This window comes from Homo sapiens, chromosome 7, assembly GCF_000001405.40.
Source record: "Homo sapiens chromosome 7, GRCh38.p14 Primary Assembly".
In the NCBI taxonomy this organism is placed as follows: domain Eukaryota; kingdom Metazoa; phylum Chordata; class Mammalia; order Primates; family Hominidae; genus Homo; species Homo sapiens.
The window spans coordinates 86,764,411-86,788,881 of NC_000007.14; the positions used below are offsets into that span (position 1 = coordinate 86,764,411).

General features: G+C 37.3%; 1 protein-coding gene and 1 long non-coding RNA gene across 13 annotated transcripts in view, besides 1 other annotated feature; one reads left to right on the plus strand and one right to left on the minus strand.

Annotated features, from left to right (window-relative positions):
• The window catches only part of GRM3 (glutamate metabotropic receptor 3), a 220,971-nt gene that overhangs the window by 120,502 nt on the left and 75,998 nt on the right, over positions 1-24,471 (plus strand). For all 4 annotated transcript variants that reach the window (NM_000840.3, NM_001363522.2, XM_047420268.1 and 1 more), the window contains 2 exons: positions 596-1,203; positions 21,851-22,706. In NM_000840.3, the coding sequence (NP_000831.2) occupies positions 736-1,203; positions 21,851-22,706 (1,324 nt within the window). In that variant the 5' untranslated portion in view covers positions 596-735. The remainder of the gene's footprint in view (positions 1-595; positions 1,204-21,850; positions 22,707-24,471) is intronic.
• Positions 7,074-24,471, minus strand: part of GRM3-AS1 (GRM3 antisense RNA 1) — a 31,953-nt gene continuing 14,555 nt past the window's right edge. For 3 of the 9 annotated variants that reach the window (XR_007060408.1, XR_007060409.1, XR_007060407.1), the window contains exons 2-4: positions 21,860-22,654; positions 11,535-20,247; positions 7,074-10,861 (exon numbers count right to left, since the gene is read on the minus strand). This is a non-coding gene — a long non-coding RNA (GRM3 antisense RNA 1). Of the gene's footprint in view, positions 10,862-11,534; positions 20,248-21,646; positions 23,130-24,471 lie in introns of those variants that run through there. The other 6 variants (XR_007060413.1, XR_007060412.1, XR_007060411.1 and 3 more) reach the window with 6 other exon arrangements.
• Positions 21,524-21,583: an enhancer, noted in NCBI's record as "active region_26223". NCBI's record gives its function as "activates an Ori minimal core promoter by ATAC-STARR-seq in GM12878 lymphoblastoid cells {active_cell/tissue: GM12878}" and the evidence as "EXISTENCE:reporter gene assay evidence [ECO:0000049][PMID:35858748]".

Consider the following 24,471-nt stretch of genomic DNA (forward strand, 5'->3'; position numbering starts at 1 on the left):
TTTTTCCACAACACTTTTGTTAGAGCAGTTGAGGCAGACTCTTAACCTCAATGGGCTAGGATAGTTCATCTATTAAGGGAGGGACAGAGATGCAGTGGTAGAAATGCAGAAATGGTAACAGAGTTCATTGTGTTTTCTTGTGTTTTAAATGGAAAGGGTAAGAGTCCATAAAAAAGGTAAGTTTACAAATGCAGCTTAAAGAGAAGGGATATAAACTCACATCCACATTGCTGCCCTAACAAAAACAAAGTAAATGACTCAGTAGAGAGAGTACTGGACTTGGCTTTCAAAAGAAAAAAAAACAAAACACAAAAAAACTGGAGTCCAAACCCAATCTGCAATAAGTACACTTTGTAAGGTCACCTCCTTGACCCTCTGTGCCCATTTCTGTGAGATGGGACCACTAGGAACTACATCATAGAGTGTGTAAGGATGGGGTGAGAATACCTGTGAGAGAGTGCCTGGTGCTGTGGTGTACTGTGTGTTTAGTAAATGGTTTTCTGAGTCATCCCATTAAAGGTCTGATTGGGCATGATCGATGTAATCACTGTTGCTTTCTTTACCATTTTTGTTCATATAATTTTTATCTCTTTAGGAATTTTGTGACAGGCTCTGTTAGTCTGTTCCTCCCTTATTTGAAGGACAGGCCAAAGATCCAGTTTGGAAATGAGAGAGGACTAGCATGACACATTGGCTCCACCATTGATATCTCCCAGAGGTACAGAAACAGGATTCATGAAGATGTTGACAAGACTGCAAGTTCTTACCTTAGCTTTGTTTTCAAAGGGATTTTTACTCTCTTTAGGGGACCATAACTTTCTAAGGAGAGAGATTAAAATAGAAGGTGACCTTGTTTTAGGGGGCCTGTTTCCTATTAACGAAAAAGGCACTGGAACTGAAGAATGTGGGCGAATCAATGAAGACCGAGGGATTCAACGCCTGGAAGCCATGTTGTTTGCTATTGATGAAATCAACAAAGATGATTACTTGCTACCAGGAGTGAAGTTGGGTGTTCACATTTTGGATACATGTTCAAGGGATACCTATGCATTGGAGCAATCACTGGAGTTTGTCAGGGCATCTTTGACAAAAGTGGATGAAGCTGAGTATATGTGTCCTGATGGATCCTATGCCATTCAAGAAAACATCCCACTTCTCATTGCAGGGGTCATTGGTGGCTCTTATAGCAGTGTTTCCATACAGGTAAGATTGGCTAATGCTATTGCTAAAAGGCTGTATCTCTTTGCTTTTATGTGTTGGGGGAACAAAAGGAAAATATCATAATAACGTCATCAACGGATTATATCAACAATGCAATTATTAATTTTTCTAGTTATAATTTGATAATATAGGTTTGCAGGCAGAAGATTTTTCTACCAATGAAAATTGTTTAGAAGCATATCAGGTAGCTATTGCAACATTAAACACTACCCCCAAAATTCAGTGGTTCAAATAAGAATATTATTTATTAGTTTACAAGTCTAAAGATCAGATGCTGTGAACTAATGGAGGCTGGGTTTCACTGGGGGCAGCTCTGCTCCAGGTTGTCTCTTATCCTCCTCCTGGAATCGATCATCTAGCCCAGGAATGTTCTCTGAGTGATGGCAGAGGTGCAAGAGAATGCAAACTCAGCTGTACAAAGCTCTTTCAAGTTTCTGCTTGCTTCGCACCTGCTGACATCCCATTAGCAAAAGCAACTCACAGGGCTCAATCCAGAGTGAAGGAGCTGGTAAGTATGCCCTGCCCACAGGACAAGTGCTGCAGTTATGCAACAGACTATCAAGGTAAGATGAAATAATAATTTGAAGCCACTGATGCAATCAAACACAGGAAGGCATAATGTCATGGAACTCCATTATTCCCACTAATTTTTACTAAAGCATTTTTTTGTTCAGAGATAAAATACAAATAAAATTTCTCAGGATATAAACCTAAAAATGTATGCAGAGAAGCCAGAGGATTACTACCATTAAAAAAAAAAAGGAAACATTTAACACATAACTTAAACTAAATATAAAGCTAATAATTGGCTGTCATAATTTTGTTGGGAAAGAAGAAATATACATACTCTTGCAATCCTTACTTATAAGGTTACTAAATTTTATAGAAGTAAATAAGTGAGAAATCATCTAGCTTAACTTCATCATTTTCCCAATCCCCAGAAAGATTGGTTTCATGAAAACTCCCACTGGTAGAAAGTACAAGAACTAGAACTCAGATAGATCTTTTGTACTTCTGTGTTCTTTTAACTACCCCATGTGATATTTATATGTTACTTTAAGTTTAGTATTTTTTCTGATTAGAGCATTAATGTCACAGTAATAAAAGTCCATGATTCTAAGAGTCATACACTTTGCCTCCCACCAAATTACTATAATCAAAGCCCCAAGCACTAAAAGAAACTATACCACACTCATGTTGTCTTTTTATGTCATGAACCACTTAAATTGGCTATATTTGCGTTGGAATAACCTTCTTTCTCTATCTCACATTTGTGGCACTTAAAATTCTAGGTATAGGCCAGGTGCTGTGGCTCATGCCTGTAATCTCAGCACTTTGGGAGGCTGAGGCAGGCAGATCACCTGAGGTCAGGAGCTTGAGACCAGCCTGGCCAACATGGTGAAACCCTGTCTCTATCAAAAATACAAAACATTAGCAGGGCATAGTGGGACACACCTGTGTTCCCAGATACTCGGGAGGCTGAGGCAGGAGAATCACTTGAACCCAGGGGGCAGAGATTGCAGTGAGCCAAGATCAGGCCACTGCCCTCTAGCCTGGAGCAACTGAGCAAGACTTCATCTCAAAAAAAAAAATGTAAATAATGATAAATATATAGATAGATACATAAAATAAAATTCTAGGTATAATTCTTTGTGGTTCTCTATGAGCTATTTGAAATTTATTTCCTTCTTCAGATTACACCATCATGTTATGAGTAATTAGGATAACTGGTTTTAAATAAACATCCTTAGGTTTCACTAGATGGATAGAAAATATTGCACATATGAAAGCACATCATGTTAATTTTGCCACTCTTTCTATACTTGGATAAAGAGAGATGAAAAATGCTATTTTATTTGAGGAAAGAGTATCGGTCATACTTCATATATATATATATATATATATATATATATATATATATATATATAAATGAAGTATGAAACATTTCATATATGTGTATATATATAGTCTGCCATACTTCAATCATAATTTCCAGATGAATGCCAGTCATTTCACGAATTTATATTATACCCAATATTACCACTAGTAAGGGCTTATATATATGCGCTTTTTCTCACCTTAGTTTCTCCTAGTGCAATAAATGGTACTCTACAGCAGATGTGTAAATATCCCACTTATCCAAAGTAATTGAGAAACTGTGCCCTGCAAATGGCCTTTTTACAATCTAATTTTACTCTTTTACTACCTATTTACTTCCTGGAAGAAGTCAGACTAGTTTAGAGGAAAAAATGTGGGCTACCAAAACCCTGTACTAGTTAGTTCTGAAGGTCAGAAGCCACTTCTTACTCATTGAAAGACCTATCTCATTAGGTTTTTTTCATTTATCTGGTCAATATCACCATGAAGTCACAAACATTGATAAGGTTCTTATCTTCACAGCATAAATAAAAGACCCAAAACTATCATGCTATAATGGAAACAGTGTAGATTTTGGCAACAGAAAGACCTGAGTTTGAATTCCAACTACACCGTTTTCTGGTTAATCTGTAAAATGAAGAAAATATCATCTACCTCAAAAAGTTGGAGAGAAGATAAATTAAGAAAATCTGTGGAAAATGCCTCACCAAAAACTGACAGATTCAATAAATGGTAACCTTATGTCCCTAAAATTATAGGAAAGGTCAGTGGAAAGCCATATCGAAAGCTAATTATGTGGACTTCTCTGGTGCCCAAGCAGTCCCATGAAGTCATTGCTGGTTTCCCACATGGTTAATCAGCAAGTCAGTCTGTATTAAGCTCCTACTGTGTGCACTGCACTGTGACAGGAGTTAGAGCAAACACTAAAGTCATATAGAACACAGCCCTGATCTCAAGAAACTTAAAATCTGGTTATGGGTACAATGTGCTCTGAAATAACAGTAACTATAATTCAGAATATGTTCATGTAGCTCACAAAGTAAGAAATGACCTTTAGAAAGGTTTTGAGGATGAGTAAGAATGAAAGTTGCATTGGAGAAAGGCTAACAGGGTGACAGTGTAAATGAGATGCTGGATCTGAAGAGGCCAATCAGAAAACTGTGGGAGACGTCCATGTACAAGGGGATAAAGGCCTTGACATGAATAAGAAGGAACAAGAGAGAAGGCTCCATTCCCTCCTCCATGGCTCCAACATTTCCTGACTAGTCAGACTCTGATTAGGCCACAGACTTGTCCAGGCCAAGTCAAGCCAGGAGTTGGAGCAATTAGGCTATACACTGACCCCCATGCCCCCTTCCAAGGAACCCTTCAATACAGGGTCCTGTATTCAGCTAGGCATCACAAATAATAAGAGTTGTTAGGTGGCTGTTATGTAGCTAAGAATTAAAGTGTGTTATTCCTTTGAAACATATATGTCCTTTAATAAGAATTCTAAAAAATATAGTCAGTGGTAATCCAAAGCCATAAATTCCTAATGGTGAATTTAAGGCCCTCTTTTACACTAACGAGGGAAACATTTTTGGAGAGAAGATTTCTCTGGGTACCTCTGATACTCACATGCTCCTGCTCCAGTGACTGATTCTGGTCATACACCTGGTGTGTGGTAACCGTGGTGACAGTGTGCAGCCTGTAGCATTGCCATCCATTTTTAACTACTTTTGACTTCCTGCATATGTACTGGAAATTGTCTTTTCTTGAACTGAGCCGGGGGAAAAAAGAGGGTGGAAGAAATAAATGAGTATGAACCTGTCACATAATTTTAAAAATTCCTGCTGTCTGATTATAACATCTAGTCCCAAACCAGGGCTCAGGGGTTTTCCATTGCAAATTGCCTGTTGAGAGAGAACTTTAGAGAATGACAGCATTTTGTGCATCTTCCCTTTTGTGGTTGGGTCAGTTTAGACATTGCAATCTCCCCATTTGGGCCTGGATTCCTTTCTCTGCTGAATTGCTTCAGGAAGTGCTTTCTCTCCAGCTTCCTCTTCTTTTCTTATCTTCCCACTAAAGGATAGAAACTTTTCCGGAAGGCAGCATAGGAGATATGCCATGCTGTGTTAGTTCATACAATAGGCAGTGTTTGCTGATAGGAAAACTGCATGGAGGGGAATTCTTAATGACTTGCTGGGTTAAGCTGTATCACCATTGATGAAGAAACTGGATAATTATTTTCCCAATGCTCTTATTAAGTACAACAAGCCAGTCTGCTGTGGTCCCTTTTATAAAACAACAGTATTGATTTCTTAATTCAGTAATCAATGAAAGCTAACATCAAAATCCTTCTATATTAGCAAATATATGTGGGAGTCTATTCACTCTCCCTGGAGAATAAGTTTCTTTCAAAGCATTTTTAAGACTGTATCCTGCACTTCTCCATAAGCCTGCAATCCACCCACTTCAGGGAAAACAGTATTTATATTTATTCAAGAAGAGAATCAAGTTGGTTGCTGTTAGGTGATTGTCTACATGGTACTTGTTTTGAAACAATGATAATGCTTGTGCTTTTCGAATAGACTGTAGTTAACTGCTAAGTTGTTCAATCAAAAATTTTCCTTGAAATGATCTTCACTCTTTCCAGAGAACACATCATTTCTTCAGTTTTTCTTGCCTAGATGGAGCAAATTTTAATTAGAACATAGCAGATATAAGTTGACCCAGTTATTGTTTTGTCCCTGAGTGTTAAAGCGACTTCAGGAACAAATGAAGATTTGGCTTAGATGGCATGTAAAAGTTAAGCTCATAGAAAGGGCAGAAGAGAGCCTTGAAAGGACCTTCCTATCTCTTTCCCATCCCTGGTATAGAAATTTTCCAGAATTTCTAGCACTATCCACATCCCAGGAACACTCTAACTCAGGAGATGGTTACTATCACATAGTATAACATGACATGACATGACATGCATTGTTCACATTGTACCCCTGAGAAGAATAACTCCTGAAATTAAATCCATTGCAGTAAATTTCACAGGTTTTAGCTATATGGGGAAGAGGGAAGAGCATATAAAGACATCCCTCTATTATACCCCCTTCACTCAACTCCACAGTGCTCAAGGGGACCACCGCTGGTCAATTTGTATTAAGCATTGGTTTCTTTCAATGATTCATTCCTCCTTTAAATTCAAATGTTTTGAGGAAAAGTCACACATTAATTGCCAGTTTTCTTATAGGAGCATAGGAAAAATAGTTGCAGAACTTGGGAGTGTAATAGCCTTCATATAGTTAGCTGTCTCCAAGTATCTGATAGACAGCTGAATGGAAACAAGTACACTCTCTCTGTGGACAAATAGGTTGACTCTAGAGCAACCTTGGCACTATTGCTGTTTTGGGCTGGATATAAGGCTGTCCTGTACATGGTAAGATGTTTGGTAGCATCACCACCCTCTACCCATGAGATGCCACCAGCACCCCAAGCTTTGTCATCTAAAAATGTTTCCATACATTGGCAAGTTACAAAATTATCCCCTTTCCTCACTGAGAATCACTGATCTGGAGCAAGGTATATTTAGAGCCAACATAAGGAAGACTTCTTAAAAAGGAAATAGCCTGGAAGGAGAGGGGTTGAAGGAAGTGAGTTCTCTGTTTCTGGAGTTATTCAAGCAAAAGTTGGCCTGTTACTGAGGAGACTGAAGCCATATATTAGTATTTGAACTACAAGGCATTTAAGGGTATTTCTTAACATTATAATTATATGTCACTTTATGAAAATACTCTACTATTAGGGTTTAAGTAATTGCAAAGGAAGTATTTAAAATATGGAGCAGAAAGTTTACATAATGGGCTCTTTTATATCGGGATCACTTTGAAGCAGTAGTCCAGTCAATTGTTATTTCACTTGATTATATTAGTATTTTTGCAAATGCCATGAATTAAGCATCTTATTTACCTATCTATTATAACTAGGGTTCTCATATAAAAGCATTTTTATCAGAAAATAAGCATTTATTAAGCATGTATACAGTAGGCACAGCAAGAACAGTATTCCATAGAACATTATTCTATAGAACATTATTCTATAGAACATTATCATGTAGTCTTGACATGGAGTAGAGGGAACATAAAATACAATTTTAAAATAGTAGATATCTTACAAGCTTCTGAGGGATATAGAAGCAAATTGAAATATCAAGACCATACATAAAACAAGTCCAAGTGTAGAATCTGAGTATCAATTGGCAACATAAGTACAGGGAGATCAGAAAGAAGAATAGAATTAGCAGACAGGAATAGAATTGAACAGGGGAAAGACGTCTAGATATACATAAACAGAAAGCCTGCCTTCGAAGCCTTCCTGGAAAGTTGCTTTCTCATAGTCTACAGAAAGATGTCTGCACAGTCTTTCATATATGAGGGAACACAGTGTTTCATCCACCTAGAATGCAGTGTTCTTCAGCTGTCTGTATGCCTTGCAAATCCTACTTTCCTTCAGTCCTATCCCTGTGAGAACCCTTTCCCAAGTACTCACTTCATGTACATGCCCCTCCATTACTAAGTAAATATAACTGTTCATTTGCATATTTATTCTTCCATGAACTATAAGCCACTTGAGTTTAAGAACCACATTTTTTGTCTTTATATTATATTACTGATACCTAGAATAGTGTCTCAACCAGGTAGAGAGTAAGTCTTTGTTGAATGAATTGAAAGAATTGATTACCTATGTACAGTTGATAAGAACTGAAAGATGTTAACCTGCTATACTTCCAGAAGGCTCAAAATCTTTATGGGAATCTTGGATTAAGGGTCACAACCATCACCCACCTATTCTAGATCAGTCTGGATGCTCATAAATGAGAAATAAGCATTTCTCTGCAATGGAAGACTTGTTTAGATATAAAAGACAGACAATGTTGCAAGGCGAGCATGTGGGACAAAATTGCCCCCATCGTCCTCACTCCCATTCTTTACACATGTGCCACAGATGCTTTGATTTGAGAGCAGCTCTAGGGGTTCCATTCCAATTGTACTTAGACCAACTATTCCAGAGAAGACTATCCAAGGCTCAACACAACTAGACAGTCAGGGCCATTTTGAATGTTAGAGCCTGTCCTCTTATCTAGCTGTCTGCAGTCTCTCCACGGGAAGAATATGCAGGGAATATTTTTATGCCAGATGCTGTGCTTGTAGCTAATGCAAAGGCAAAGAGAACATCATCCTACCCTCAAGAAAAGCAGAGTGACAGGATTAGAAATCCATTCACTACTCTATCACCAGTATCTCTATCACTAGAATAGTAAAAATGATAGTTGCATTTAGGGAGTTTAGTACTGCAAATACAATGATTATAGCATGGATATGTTACAATTGTACATTTTTAGTATGCCTTTCTTGAAAAATTTCAACACAGTGATTAAAACTCTGTGCAGACTGACTAGGATTCACTTAACCCTGCATTGTCTCTTTACTCATGTCTAAAACTGAGTTTTTTTTTTACGATTTCAACGTTTATTTTTGATTCAAGGGCCAAATATGTAGGTTTGTTACATAGGTATATTGTGTGTTGCTGAGGTTTGGGGTACAAATGATCCTGGCACCCAGATAATGAACATAGTATCCAGTGGGTAGCTTTTCAGCCCTTGAACCCCTTCCTACCTTCTCCCCCTATTAGTTCCCAGTGTCTACTGTTGCCGTCTTTATGTACATGTGTACCTAGTAATATGGGGATATTAGTAGTACCTCTCTCATTGGGTTATTGTGGGAATTAAATAAGAAAATACATGAAAAGTGAGAAAATGGTACCTTGTATACTTAGCAGTCAACATTTTAGTAGATATTATTATCCATTACCTTTTATTTATTTATTTATTTATTTATTTTACTTTCAACATCTCCAGCCCAAAAGGAACAGTTTCAAGAGGAATTGAGACTCACAGAGGTCAAGTTCCAAGTTCAAGTTTTTATCACTTTACAAGTAGCAGAATCAACATGAGAATCCAGATAGCTTGCCTCCCACACCAACCACCCCCTCACATAGTCTAAGCTGCAGAAAAATCTGACTCAAAAGTTATCTCAGACAGAATCTTTTCATTTATTTCCTTCCCAGACTTTTCATTCTAAAGCAATCTCACAACACTGATTGTTTTGAAACCTCCTTCCATTGCTCCTGCTTCAACTCCTCCAAGAAAGGGCAATGCCATTCAAGGACTTCATCACAGGGAGGGAGGCACCAGCAACAGCAATTAAAAATGCTTTTGTTAGCATTGCTTCATTGTAGAAATTTCTCATCAGAAGTAATTATCTGATATGCTACTATTTTTTTCCTTTGCATTGGGGTTAATTTGTTTCTTAATTAATTCCCCTTCTGTCATGTATTTATTTGGAAACTACTCTACCGAAAGATAAGAAGTTGCCGTCAGGACCACTGTTCACAAGGCAATAGGATGGTCCAGGCTTACACTGCAGGTCAGGTGTCTATGATGGAGGTCACGCGATAAAAAGCAAAGAATACAGACATTCCTAAGATAGCAGCAGTGTTTTATGCTATGATTATAGATTAATAGGTAAATGAATTGAAATAGGACTGCTGACACTTCTGATTAAACCTATGATATTTTGCCTTAATGACACAAAGTTCTCTTTCCAAATTACCATTAAATATGTGCCTTTTTCATGGATTGATATGTACAATTTCAGTATTTCAATATGGAAAGAGCAGCGGTTAGCAGTTTATAATAATGAAGGTCCATGGATTTAATGTAGTAGAGGTGCTTCTACTGATCTATGGAAAATGCAGTTGAAAATTCACAGATTACCTTTCTAATTAGCAGACTTTGGGAATTTAAGAATAGTGTTCCAAAAACACCTGCAGTTAAACTCCAAACAAACGATCCTCCAGGAGGTTTATCAGTGGGACTTTGAACACTAAAAGTGTAGTGTGACTATTTTTGACAACACCACCTGGTATATTGTGGAAATCCCTTTGTTACTAGTAACAAAGTTTTGATTCTTGCCAACACTTTGGCTTCACATTCCAATAAAGCGAACTGCAATACAGGGGAGAATTCAATAGAAGCAACACCTTCAAAAATTATATTTTAAACATAGACCAGATTTCCTTGCCAAGTGGTCAGAATGGCAAAGCATCTTGACAGATTTGCCATCACTTAATAGGGTTGAATTGTCAGTGTGTTTACACAAAGGACTAGTAGTTTTTTTCCCAGGCACAGTGCCTCCAATTTCGGTAGATACCATAAGGTTCACAAATGAGGCCTCATAGAATGCAAACCAGGCAATTAAGCTTTTCCAATAAGGAAAACAGATGTGGTTGAACAAATGATCTAAAATTTGTTCTGAATTTCTCAATAAAAAAGTAAATTCCATCTAAATAAAAATATACATGTGCATTAAGTCTATATTACCTAAGTTTACAAAGTAGTTTTAAGAAAGATTATTTATACAAGATTTAAAGGAATGTAACATCAGACAATATACCCACATAACATATATGTACATGTAACTCCTTGATCTAAAATTAAATTAAAAAGTAAAGGAAAGTAACAATAAATGCAGATAATCCAGAAAATTTCAACTGTTAACAATGTTTATTTAACTGACTCTCAGCTCTTATTTTTACATTAAATAAAGTTTTTGTGTTATCTTTTCTAAGATGCTTCTAGGAATTTAAAAGTTCTTCATCTTTCCTAGAGACCTTTCTCCAACAACCATTATTATTTATGACCTGCTTTTTTCCAGGAAGGATTCAAGGTGACCTGTAATGACAAAAAGAGGAGAACAAATAAAAACACAAGTACTTAGGTAATTACTACCAATGAAATAAAATAGTTTCAAGTAGGCTCCATTTGTTTTAAAGCTCCAATCTTTATATTTATATTATCAACTTACTCAGCATTATTGAGATGACATCATCCCTAGCTTTCAAGAACCCATAGCCTAAGTCAGAATGGGTAGTTTGTTCATCTGATTGCCCTTCCCTGATTCATTCCTTTCAAGTTGGATATCACCAACTCTCTTTTTAAAACATAACTTTGGTCATGTCATTTCCTTAATAAAAAAAAATTAATAGCTTTTTATCTCTTAAAGAACAAAGTTCAAAATACTTATAATTGTATATAAAATTCTTAGTGGTCTCACCACCATCCCTCTATCCTTCTTTACCTTCTACTAATCCCTGTGAGGCCCTGGGTATTCTGAAAATAGGGAACTACCTACTATTAAAGCAAATATGTACTTTCTCATCTCTGTCTTTGTGTTCTCTCTTCTATGTAAAAACCTCATTTCCTCTTTCTCTGCCTGGAAAACTTCCACTTATTCCTCAACATCAAGCCTATATGTTACCTCTATATGGAGGTCTGTGATGAATCATCTGAGTGTAATTAGTTGCTCTTCACCTGTGTTTTTGTGTAAGTTTGTATTCATACATACCTTAAAATTGTATCCTTGGCTATGTTTCTTTGTCTCCCATCAAATTACGACTTCCTGGAGGACTGTAGGGGTACATTGCTCATCCAGGAAAAAAAAAACAAAACTAGATTTTAGAATAGTGCCTTGTATAATCGACATCAGTCAAAGTTTGCTGAATGAGTGATGACAAATTAGCTATTATCACCCTCTCTATTGCTTCTTGAGCATTTACTACATGCCCATCAGTGAGTTAAGTGCTTCATATGTTTTCATTTAATCTTTACATGACTTCATAAACCATGGATTACTATCCTTTTCTTTTGACAGATAAAGAAATTGCAGCTTAAGGAGTTAAAATAACTAGCCGAAGGTCACACAGCTAGTGAGAGGAGCTGAGATTCCAATGCTGGCCTGATTCCAACCCTGTGCACTGTTTGCTTCTTTTGCTTCAATACCATTTGCTTCTTTTGTGTCTGACAGCTCTGTTGAAGTAAAGAGTAGTTAACAAGAAAACAATGAATAACACAATTCTGTTTGCTACAATATGGTGAATATACCTTTGCCCTAAATTATTGCCCCAAGACCTCAAAAGTAAATGATAATCATTTAAGGAAATATTAGGCTATAGCCCTCAGCTATCCCCAAGCATACCCAACAGCTTTTGTCCTTTGGTTAACAACTGACAAAGATTGGCATGCCTTTTGTTATTGATAAGGCCATATTTCTCATATTATTGTTATACAAGTGACTTCAGGGACCACAGAAAAATATAGATTAGCTCAACTTGTGGCTCTGTTAAAACTTCAAGAGACATTGTCAAAAATCAATATCTGAGGTACTAAACGATGTGTTTCTAACAGGTCTTTTGATGTCAAGTCACCCTGGAAGTCATGCTTTCGCAGGTGTTGCTGGCAAACACAAACACTCTTGACACCAGATATGACACAGACTTTTTGATCCTGTTGTTAGGAACTGGAACATGAACCACTTCACTTCTGTGATTTCTCCTGAAAACTAATGCATGGGGGAAAAGGGAAGCAAAGAGCAGATGCAGACTAATTCAGTGGGCAAAATACCTTCTTGTTTGTCTTGTAAGTACCTGCTAAATCTGGATGGAAAGAAAGTTATTCCTGAGATAGTTCCTTGTTAGTAAGGGAACAAGCTAGATATCTGAATGTGGAATAGCATCGTGATGGTGAGAAATATGACATGTCTTTTAATACCAGTCTCCTGAAATGATAGGATTCGAGGAATCCTTTGTGGTCTGCATATCACTTCAACCTAAATGATGAGTTATGAAAATGCCAAAATGAATAACCTTACTATTTAAGAAGTCCTTCAGTTTCAAATGAAGAAAATAAAAGTGTGTGACAATCCTGGTTACAAACTACAGGAGATGAGTGCAATGATTTTCAGAGAGACTTGGGATGGAAAGCAGGGTGACTTTGAGCAATTTTTGAAGGTTTCCACTATGATTAGGGAGTCCTTTGTTTGGAATGTCCATGTGAAATCACTGGTACTGAGCCATGCTGTTGAATGGTGATAACCAATATGGATCTTTGACTCAAGTGTTTTTGGGGCCCATGGCATGTAAGAGTTGTTGACCTCTTCATATTATACTGCGTACACTGGTATTTGCTATACTTCATTATACGATTTCTAAAATCAACATTAATTCCTGGTCTTGGGACATGGGCATCAATTGTTTTCATGCAAATTGTTCCCAGATGTGCTACAGGTAATGTGGCCAAAACAAAACAAAACAAAAAAAGTTACTAATCCTTTTAGCAATAACAATATGATTGGACTCCTTTATGGGCAGATAACTCATATGATGTGAACAGCTTGAATTTCTCAGGCAGTTTTGTCAACTATATACCACCTCCAGTTCCAGTTTAAAATACAAGCCAATCTGGGATTTTGTACAGCTAATAATGTAACTTGAACAAGCTGAATAGGAGGGACACTGAGGTCTCTAAACATCACAAATTCTAGAACTTGTTTTTATGTAATAACCTGTGCTATGAGGTAACAGATGGTTCAAAGTGCAGCAACTCAATGGTTCTCTTCCAGGCACATATATAAGCATTTAATTAAAAGAACTAAACAAAACATTCAGCACTGCATGTGTGACAAAGCAATTAAAGGTGTAGACTTATTCTTAGAAAACAGCCCCAAAAAGATAGGTGAACAGCAGAGAATAAACATGAAGGTTATTATCAAGTCTCCTGATTACAGGGCAGTAGCAATGGTTTATTTTTTAAATGTATATAGTTCAGCTCTGTAAATAACATTCTTCTTGGAAGTGGGCATTTGATGCCTCTTTGTCATCTGGAATTTTTGTAGCTAAGTATAGATCCTCATAAAACTATTTATTATTGTTCCCTTTAATGTATTAGCACAAATTCAGAAGCCAATAACTGTAAAACTTCTGAAAATAATTCTCATAGCACTAAAAAATCACTTTAGTGGGAAACTTGTTTCTACCAGATTCTACATGTCCACAGTCCTTTTGTCTTGTGTTGAAAAAAAAATATTTGGCATTGTGTCAGCATAGAAGGCACAAAGCTCTGTTTGAAATTGATACATCATGTATATCCTGAGTAGAAATAGTAAATAAGGAACTGATGTGGGGGCTCACAAGTGACTGATATTTTCCAGTTCACATTCTCTTTTTTCACAACAGGAAAAGAATAGAGTAAACTGCCTGAGATCTTTCTCATAGCTCATATTCTTTTGCTCCCATGATCACAGCACCTTTCATGATAAGCAATGCACAACATGTGATAAATCAACACACAGAAATAGAAGAAAACTATGTCAGTGTAATAAAAAGCCGTATACTAAAAATATACAGCTAATGTCATACTCAGTGCTAAAAGACTGAAAGTTTATATTCAACATAATATTGGAAGTTCCAACCCCCAGTACCTTAGAATGTGACTTGATTGAAAAATGGTGTCATTGCTTATGTACTTAGGTTAGGATGAGGTCATACTGAAGTAGGGTAGGTTCCTAATTCAGTATGACTGGTATTCTTACACAAAAGCAAAATTTGGATACACACACACACTCATCATTGAAATAAAGCATGGCACCTGGGATCCTAAAAAGAAGGCTCTATGCCTTGTTAGAAAATATCATGAGAAATAAAACTTCCAAATAAATTAGTATTGAACTAAAAATTCCCATCTGTGAATGAGTATGGCTTGGATGCCTACTGTAGCATCATTCCACAATTGGCTATTGATTGTGAAAAAAAATAAAGTTTTAAACATTCCTAAAGCAAGAATAAGGGAGCAAGTGGTGTGAGTTGATTCCTGAAGGTCTAAATCAATTCCTTGTCTTATGTGTCATCTCGTTTTAATAAAAAAATGAATATGACTAGTTAAAGATCCACATTGCACAATAAAATTGTTTATCAGTCATATTTCAGAGTGGCTTCATATTGCCTGCTGGTGGTCAGCTTCCCCGTCGTGTGTGCATGTGCACACGTGCGCACACACACACACACACAAACCCATCATTATAATTAGAAAAGGTTACATGGTAGAGCAGCAAAATATCAATTCCCTCATCAATCCATTTAACAAATATTATAGAGCACCTCTATACTCTGTGAGGCATTGAGAATTCAGAGATTAACGAGAGTTCTCACTCCAGTGGAGAACTTAGTGAATAATCTAGAAATCACCATATATTTTCATTAGTACCATGAGAGAAACACATGAGGGAATGAAAGAGGCTCAGAGAATGGGCACACAAGTCATTCTGAAGTCAGGCATTAGAACGGTTCCTTAGAGAAGAAGCCCTTGAATGGATTAGCTGAGCAGACAAGTGGTAAAGGTCATTCTAGACAGAAGGAACATCACAGTAAGTCAGAGATTCTCCATAAAGTTGAGTTTATTTGGAAGAAAAAAATATATTGGGAAAATGGTGGCAGATATTTAATAACATTTAGCAATGGTTTGTTAGACAACTACTGCAAGTAAAGCCCATTCTAAATTACACCAGCTTATAACTACAACAATGGGGAAAAGACACAAATACTAATTTTTTTTGTCCTTGCAATAGTTTGCTGAGAATGATGGTTTCCAGCTTCATCCAAGTCCCTACAAAGGACATGAACTCATCATTTTTTATGGCTGCATAGTATTCCGTGGTGTATATGTGTCACATTTTCTTAATCCAGTCTATCATTGTTGGACATTTGGGTTGGTTCCAAGTCTTTGCTATTGTGAATAGTGCCGCAATAAACATACGTGTGCATGTGTCTTTATAGCAGCATGATGTGTAATTCTTTGGGTATATACCAGTAATGGGATGGCTGGGTCAAATGGTATTTCTAGTTCTAGATCCCTGTATGCATATGTAACAAACTTGCACATTGTGCAAATGTACCCTAAAACTTAAAGTATAATTAAAAAATACCAATTTTATAACATTGCATCTGCTGGCAAACATAATCATATCTGGCCAAGTCCAGCATTTCTTCTTGAGCAAAATTAATCACATCTGTGACTTGATAACCTGCAATGAAAACATTGCAACACCTAAGTCCTGGATAAATTCAAAACACCAAGAAAATGGGTACCGCATAATATCTGAACATTGAAAATAAAATGACAGTACATGCTACACATGGAAAGAGATTCTGCTAAACATAACTTACTTGCATGCCGCCTCTCAGGCCCTAGGAACTAATGGGTTCTGCTATAAGGCCATTGTGTTTCTCACATAAATCAGAAAGCCAAATCTGACTCTGATATTTATAGCTTGAAGCTTTCATTGCCCCCGTGGAAATTTCCCAGTAGACTCTTAGACTATCATTGTTATCTCTGTTGATGGCCAGTCAGTAAACGAATGTTTATGGAGTCACCACAAAGCACAGACTGACAAATGAAAAGCATACTTTTGATAGCAAGGGATGATTGGTCATGATCCTCAAATAAAGGAGTTTATGGCTTCAGAACAAAAAAACAGACAAACATTATACCTTGAAATATATCATTGCATCATTATAGTGAGAGGAATCCATTACGAGCTTGGATTGCAGAATGGACTGGATAAATATGACAAAAGTGAGTACAGTGAGTGGTCCCAGAATTCCTACCACTTATGGGTTCCTCAGTAAGATCTCTATGCACTCTTTACCTTAGTTTCTCAAGCTATAAAATGGGATAATGGTAGTATCTACATCATAAGAATGCCCTGAGGATTAAATGAGAAAACACATCTGCAACAATTAGAACAGTAGCTGGCACAAAAATATTAGGACTACTGAAAATACTAGGGATCTTTAAAAGGCTTCCCCAAAAAAGCCTTACCCAAAAAAAAAGGTAGTCTGAAAACAGTAACTTAGAGAATAGGAAAACTGAAATAGCTCTTCTTTGTTCACTTCTGAGGAATTCTGAATTGGAATCTAAACAGGATAAACCACTTAATAATCCGTCTTTGACTTTAGCCACCCTTAGATTTCTGGCACTTGCTGAACTGCAATATTGAATTTTGCATTTATAATTTCATTTTTTCTAGTTTTTTCTTCTTTCTTCACCTGTGTAATTTTAACTTAAACTCAGGAATTTACATCTCTTCCTATATAATATCACCTTGTTTCCTGAGAGGGAAACTAGTCCTTTGAGAAAATCAAGAGACTGAGCTCTAATCTTAGGCTTTCTGCCTATTAGTTGTCTAAATTTTGAAAAGTCACTTCACCCTGTGAGATTGTTTTCTCACCTATAAAACAAAAGGTTTAGATCATCTTCACAGTTTCTTCTATCTCTACAATGTAAAGATCTTATTGCTTATTTATGCTTTTTTCAATGGCATTAATACAAATGTAATTTTATTTGGCCACTATAAATATAGAAATATAAGACTTTATATAAGACTTATATAAAGACTTGGAATAAATATAAGACTTTCTTCCAAGCTGCTGTCTTTGAGTACGTTTAACTGTATTATCCAACTCCTATCACTTTCTCTTTTCCTCAAGAGTCCAAGCAATGTCACCAATAACTTATTAAAGTCATGGTCCTCCAGGCTGCAACTCTTCCTTATATAATGTTGAAAAGATGGCCCCCTGGTAAAATTCACTCTTATTAAACCCATGCTGATTCCTAGTACTTTCCTCGTTCAGTTCTAAGTGTTTCCATGCTCTCTGTTAGCAAACTTTGTTCTAGAAGATTACCAAAGCACATCATGCTTATTCATTTATATTTCTTCTTGATTTATATATCCAGAATTTGTCCTTCCTCCTTCCCTTTCACCCTGTCCCTTTCACCCTGTGGGAGTCCTCCATTGTGTGTTTTTCAAGAATTATTGATAGTGATTTCATAATGTAATCTGCAATTTCTTCCAGAATTCATTACTGGGGACAAACTCCATTCATCTGATTATGGGGTGGTTTTTTTTTTTTGTATTCTCTCCTACTTTTGAGTGTGATAACCTTTTTATATTATTTGTACTGCCATTTCCATGTTAGAAACCATTCTCAATGGAGAGAATGAGAAAGTAAGAGGGATGGAGCAGCATCTTTCTTTTATTCATATAGAACCAACTTTCCCATTTGATGATTCTGTATCTTCCTGCCACATCTTCTCCTGAAACATAATTTCAAATCAAAACAATAGCAATGACAAAAATCACTTTGATGCATTTTCACATTCTGCGCTTTAGCGTCCCTTATTTTTACAGGCTTATGTCAATCTTCTATGTTGTATATGGGGACGCCCCCAACATACATACAGACAGCACCCATTCTGTGTTGCTGGTTCTTCTAACACCAAAATCCCCCAAATGCAGCCTAGCACCCAGTGGATTCTTTAGAGTTTTCATCTTCTCTTTCTTGTTGAGACTATTCTGTATTGTATGAATTATTTTTATAGTCCTCCTGTATTCCATTTTAGAGTCTTAATTTATGTGAAGCATATCTCTTTTAAAGTATTTTTTTCCAAAGCATATATAACTACATCCTGTTTTTCCTTCCTCCACTCTATCTAATAATAACATAATTGGGTAACTTTCTTCCAAAATTTTACATTACTTCTCCATTCTAAAACAATTTTTCTTTTATCATTCAAAATGATGTCCAGTGTAGGAGTTCCTTTATTTCTTTATGCTTTCTCAGAGAAACCATATGGCCAGTAAAGTAAGTCAAGAATATTCCAGAACCAAGCTTTTAGACAAATGAGACAGGAACCCAGTTAACAACTACCTGGATATTCCCCAACCCTAGTTTTAAATTTATGTTAAAAGGAAAGTTCCTGCTAACAGCAACTAGGCAGTCTATGGTGTATACCATAATATTGCTTCTGTTCCTCTTGTTCTTTCTACCTGGATGCCTTTCTGTGTTTGAAGCCTCAGGTTTATAGTCACACAGTAGAAGGTAGAGAGGAAGCTGTGAGGGGATAGCCATAGTCCTTGAAGTCAAAACACCTGGTTTTACACCTTGATTTCACCCACACATTCTAACCATATGGCTATGAACAAGTTTCTTCACCTAGCAGAACTGTTTTTGCATATCTAAAATAGAGATAATAATATCCACCATAAAAAGTTATTGTGACTATCAAAAGAGCAAAATATGTTTGTGTGTGTGTGTGTGTGTATGTACATACCCAGTACATTGGTACTTGGTTTTACAACAGAATAAACACATTTTTTAAATGAATAAACCAAACTAACATTCTTCTTTACAAATAAGGCTGAGGTGGATGAGAAAGAGAAAGGAGAGAGACTTATAATCTATTGCCTCCCATGGTGTTTACTTTTAAGCATTTTAACCCTTTTAATCTAAAGAAACTAATTTTAAAAGGAGCAGCTCACTGTGATAAAATTACTTCAATACTTCACTCCATGATTCATTTGTATTACATGTGTTTCTAATGTAACTCTGAATATCGTAAGTTTGACTATATTATCACCCCATGCTATTCAATATAGGTGATACAATTGAGATAATACTTACTATGTTCCAATTTCACGTTTCAACTCACCAAATGTGCCTCCTTTTTCTAGAGTCAGTTGTGGTCTCCTCATTAAACACACACACACAGAGGAACATAAAATTATTCTTAAAATGTTGGCAATAGTTGCTGTTTTATTCTAGCCCACAGCCTTCCCCAAAGTTACAGCTCATTGTGCCCCTTTCCAATGCAGAGAATCTTTCCCACATTGCTGTTATTCTATGGCTAGTTCGTTCTCTTGCAAAGCCTGCCTTCATTGTAAATTATTCTCGTACATCCTGGAGAGTTAGACATGAAGCCTATCATTGAAAAACAAGAACTTTTTTGTTTTTTTTTTGAGCAGTTTCTCATTACTCCTACCCCTATGGGAGAGGAAATTTCAGCAGTTTAGGATTGTTTCACTGTGATTCTTCGCTGCCAGAAAATAATGTCCAGATATTTTTTAGGTCCTTTCATTCTCTGTCTCCCTGAGGGGTTCAGGTCCTGATTAATATAACTTGAAGATGAGAAAATCATTGTATCAAGAAGAGATGGCCTCTCCAGTGCTAGCCAGAAACCTCTTAACAAAGTCAAGCTATGCATAGACAGGGCTCCTATCACCAAGCCTTCCATAGTGGTACATAAATCCAGTGGAAGCCAGGCACTCATTCTAGAAGTAATGACAGTACCTGTTTGGTGACACCTGCCATTTCAGTCAGGCTGAGTGAAGCAATATTCCTATGCCTAAATAAGTCAGTATAGGCCATTTTGTCCAGAGTCTCCTAGTCCTGAGAAGAGAAGAAATAAATAATATATTAGCCTTTACCCCTTCATCCACCCATTCACCTCCATTCCCCTGGATTAAAGAATACTAAATGCAAGAAAGATTTGGGGTTTTAATTTTGCATTATATTGTGTGTTAAGCCCCAGATTTCTAGCTGTTTTATTTGTGGTTGAGAGGTAGCAGGATTGGAAAAGATATAGAAGATATTTTTGATAGCTCTGGACTATATCTAGTGTTGATTTTAATAGCAGGCCAGATATCCAAGAACATGCTGTGTAGCTGTGTATGAACTTGGCTGTTGGTTTCTCTTGCCAGATGAAATTATGATTAATCGGGGCTCAGATGTCAGTTGTTTTATGTTGCTTGTGCTCTTTGCTAACAGCTGCCTATTTCAAGCTGTGCTTGCTACATGTCAAATATAAACGTGAAACCACAATTTCCAAAAGGAAAAATTTCAAAGTACTAATATTCATGCCAATGTAGACAGAGCATACTGTAATAGTCAATGTCATTTCTGATTAAAATCCACTTAGTATGTTACATAATTTAACTTAAGTCAGTATAGAGAAAGAACTCTCCTACGTGAGGTAGACAGGAGAAATTATTTTTAAAAGCTAATTATTCAGTATGCATATAATCTGTTTAGATATTTGTAAATATATATCTCTTCAAATACTGTATGCATAAAATGCTCCTCAATAAACAAGTGTCACTTTCCTTTTTATTCTACAATAAATAAAAATGATAAATATTGTTGATAGTCAATTATAAAAAATTTAAATATTTGATTCAGATTTAGGTTTAAATACTTGGAAGTAAGTGGTCTGTTCTTGACAAGGTCCTCAATACCTTTTAATTTTTTTTAATCAAAAATGATGTAAGAATAGAATTCTATATTATTTCTTTTCACATAGTCCAAGCAGAAAAATATTTTAAAAAGAAAAAGAAAGTAAAGAAAATATTGGTCAAGATTTTCAGGAGTTTAGAAAAGCGTATGCCTAAAATGTTGGGTGGTGGACTAAATAGAATTGATTTTTTTTTTTTTTTTTTTTTTTTTTTTTTTTTGCTTAACCTAGATGATAAATGTCTAATCTGGACTGCCCATGTGGCATGCAGTTCCCAAATTAAACTCTTTCAGAGACTGCCGTTTTTAGCAAAAGAGGGGGAAGTGAGAATTAGACAACACCCTTGCTCTTTCTATACAAGTGCAGTCAAAAACCGAGTTTGGCCAATTCACTGTAGTTCATTGCTTGAGCTATATATAGCAGGACCCCAGAAACTTAAAGAAACCTGAGAGCCCATGGACAGGTTTTATCCTAGTCTAGAGTCTAGCACAGAGTATAGAAGAGAGTGTGGTGCCCTTCTCATTTCTCTACTCTGCCCTTTCCTGAAGCACACACTACCTGTGTGAGACCTGCTTCCTAGTGTCCAAAATACAGTATCCAAGGAAGCATCTGGTATTCATCTCAAGAACTAACAGAAAAATGTAGCCATCTAGAGTAGAGGGAAAAGGGAGTCAGTAAAAGGTGTGGATGCTATTATTCATTTTCATGTCCAGTCATCTACCTCGGGGTTTCTAACAAAGGTCCTTCTTCTCCCTCCCCTAGGTGGCAAACCTGCTGCGGCTCTTCCAGATCCCTCAGATCAGCTACGCATCCACCAGCGCCAAACTCAGTGATAAGTCGCGCTATGATTACTTTGCCAGGACCGTGCCCCCCGACTTCTACCAGGCCAAAGCCATGGCTGAGATCTTGCGCTTCTTCAACTGGACCTACGTGTCCACAGTAGCCTCCGAGGGTGATTACGGGGAGACAGGGATCGAGGCCTTCGAGCAGGAAGCCCGCCTGCGCAACATCTGCATCGCTACGGCGGAGAAGGTGGGCCGCTCCAACATCCGCAAGTCCTACGACAGCGTGATCCGAGAACTGTTGCAGAAGCCCAACGCGCGCGTCGTGGTCCTCTTCATGCGCAGCGACGACTCGCGGGAGCTCATTGCAGCCGCCAGCCGCGCCAATGCCTCCTTCACCTGGGTGGCCAGCGACGGCTGGGGCGCGCAGGAGAGCATCATCAAGGGCAGCGAGCATGTGGCCTACGGCGCCATCACCCTGGAGCTGGCCTCCCAGCCTGTCCGCCAGTTCGACCGCTACTTCCAGAGCCTCAACCCCTACAACAACCACCGCAACCCCTGGTTCCGGGACTTCTGGGAGCAAAAGTTTCAGTGCAGCCTCCAGAACAAACGCAACCACAGGCGCGTCTGCGACAAGCACCTGGCCATCGACAGCAGCAACTACGAGCAAGAGTCCAAGATCATGTTTGTGGTGAACGCGGTGTATGCCATGGCCCACGCTTTGCACAAAATGCAGCGCACCCTCTGTCCCAACACTACCAAGCTTTGTGATGCTATGAAGATCCTGGATGGGAAGAAGTTGTACAAGGATTACTTGCTGAAAATCAACTTCACGGGTAAGCCAAGAGCCTTTAAACATCTTCTCAGATGCAAACAAGTGAAATAAAATAGGAATCAAATGCCTCTGTGCCCAATTCAGAAATAATTATTTCAAAGCCATAAAAAGGGTTCAAACTGTTAACCAAATATTCCAGGATGCAATAGGATGGTTCTCTAACATTCTTACTCATTTCTGAATGAACATCTCGGCTGGTACACGACATGGCAATGAAAGGGGCCCCAGGCAGGGCTGACAGCCCACTGTGGTAGCTCCCTAGATTAGGGCCAGGCTAGATTTGAGCTCTTTGTTGATGTTGGCTGCAGGATTATGGCATGTGTGATATGGGCACTTAATCTTCTTTAGCAGAATTGGCACCTCTCTAGGGAACATGAACTTCCAAGCCTTCTTTGTGGGTGACTTGAGCAAAAGAATCTCATAACTTTCACAGTGGGTGACAGAGAGAGAGAGAGAGAGAGAAGTCACTGTTCTCCCAGAGCATAATTAGGGGCAAAACAGAAAAGATACCCAGACCCTAGTGATTTCTAGGCATTCCGTTTATTTTTCTGCTATACCAAAACATTTATATATTATTAATAGTTGGGGATTTTCTCAAAATATGTTATGAAATGAAACTCTTTTTCTGGGAGCTTGACTATAAGCAGGTTGAAGACTAATGGAATTCATTCTGATACAGTAGTGAACATCATACAAAGGTGTATTCAAAGTGAAAAGTGATTTTTGCTGCCTCTTTATTTCTAAATACAGTCTAAATATTTCTCTAACTATAGTATTGCATTGAATGCATTACTACGTAAAAAGCACAAAATCTTTAGGTCTACATTCTCTACTTAGGTACATGGGATATCTGCTTATTAAGGCACTTGTTCTGGGTAGTATAGCTTAATCCCAAATCATAAAATATTAAGTAATATTTGGGGCACAAAGATTTTGATGCCAAAAACATTACAGTGATAAAATGCTTTCATCAACCTGAATTACTAATACCTCTCATGCCACTCAGGCATCGTTCCAATCTGCACAATGTCTAGTCTGCTTCCACAGAAGTATCATCCAAGACCTGAAAGTTTATATGCTCAGATCATACTACCATTGGCGCAAATGGCAGTTCTCACATCTCCCTTATAAGTGGTCACTCAGAAGTCAAGTGGTCTATGAAATCACAGGTAATAATGAAAAAAATGCCTCATGACCATTGGCTTCTATTCCATAATTCTTACCTGCAAGGCAGCCTTGAAAATAAGCACAAAAATCACCACACTGCATGTTGCATAACTTCTTTACTTTCCCCAGAGAGGGCCGAAAGTAGTCAAAATCAATTATGTCAGTAATTCCTCCAATTAATCTGATGGATACCACTTCTTATCATTAGAATGACTACTAAAACTGGTAAAGATTAAACTTTTTCTGTGCCCTGTATTCCCATGAGTGTATTTCATATAGCAATAACAAAAATAAATAAATAAAAAGAGTAATAAATGAGCATTCATCTTCAAATCCCAGGTTAGTTCCTGTTGACATCTCTAAAAATTGAGAATGGACCTTGGAGTCAGTAAAAAAAGAATATCTTTACTCTAAAAATAAATTAACTCTCAGGTATTCGTAAAAGGTATCTGCAATGCACTTAATTCTTAAAGATGAATAAGAATTCAGCACATACTCCCCATCAGACTACCCTTCAGGGTATTATTTATCTTTACTCACCACATATATTAATTAACTTTGTTATTCTAGTTCCTTTCTTACTTTTTAGTATGCAAATA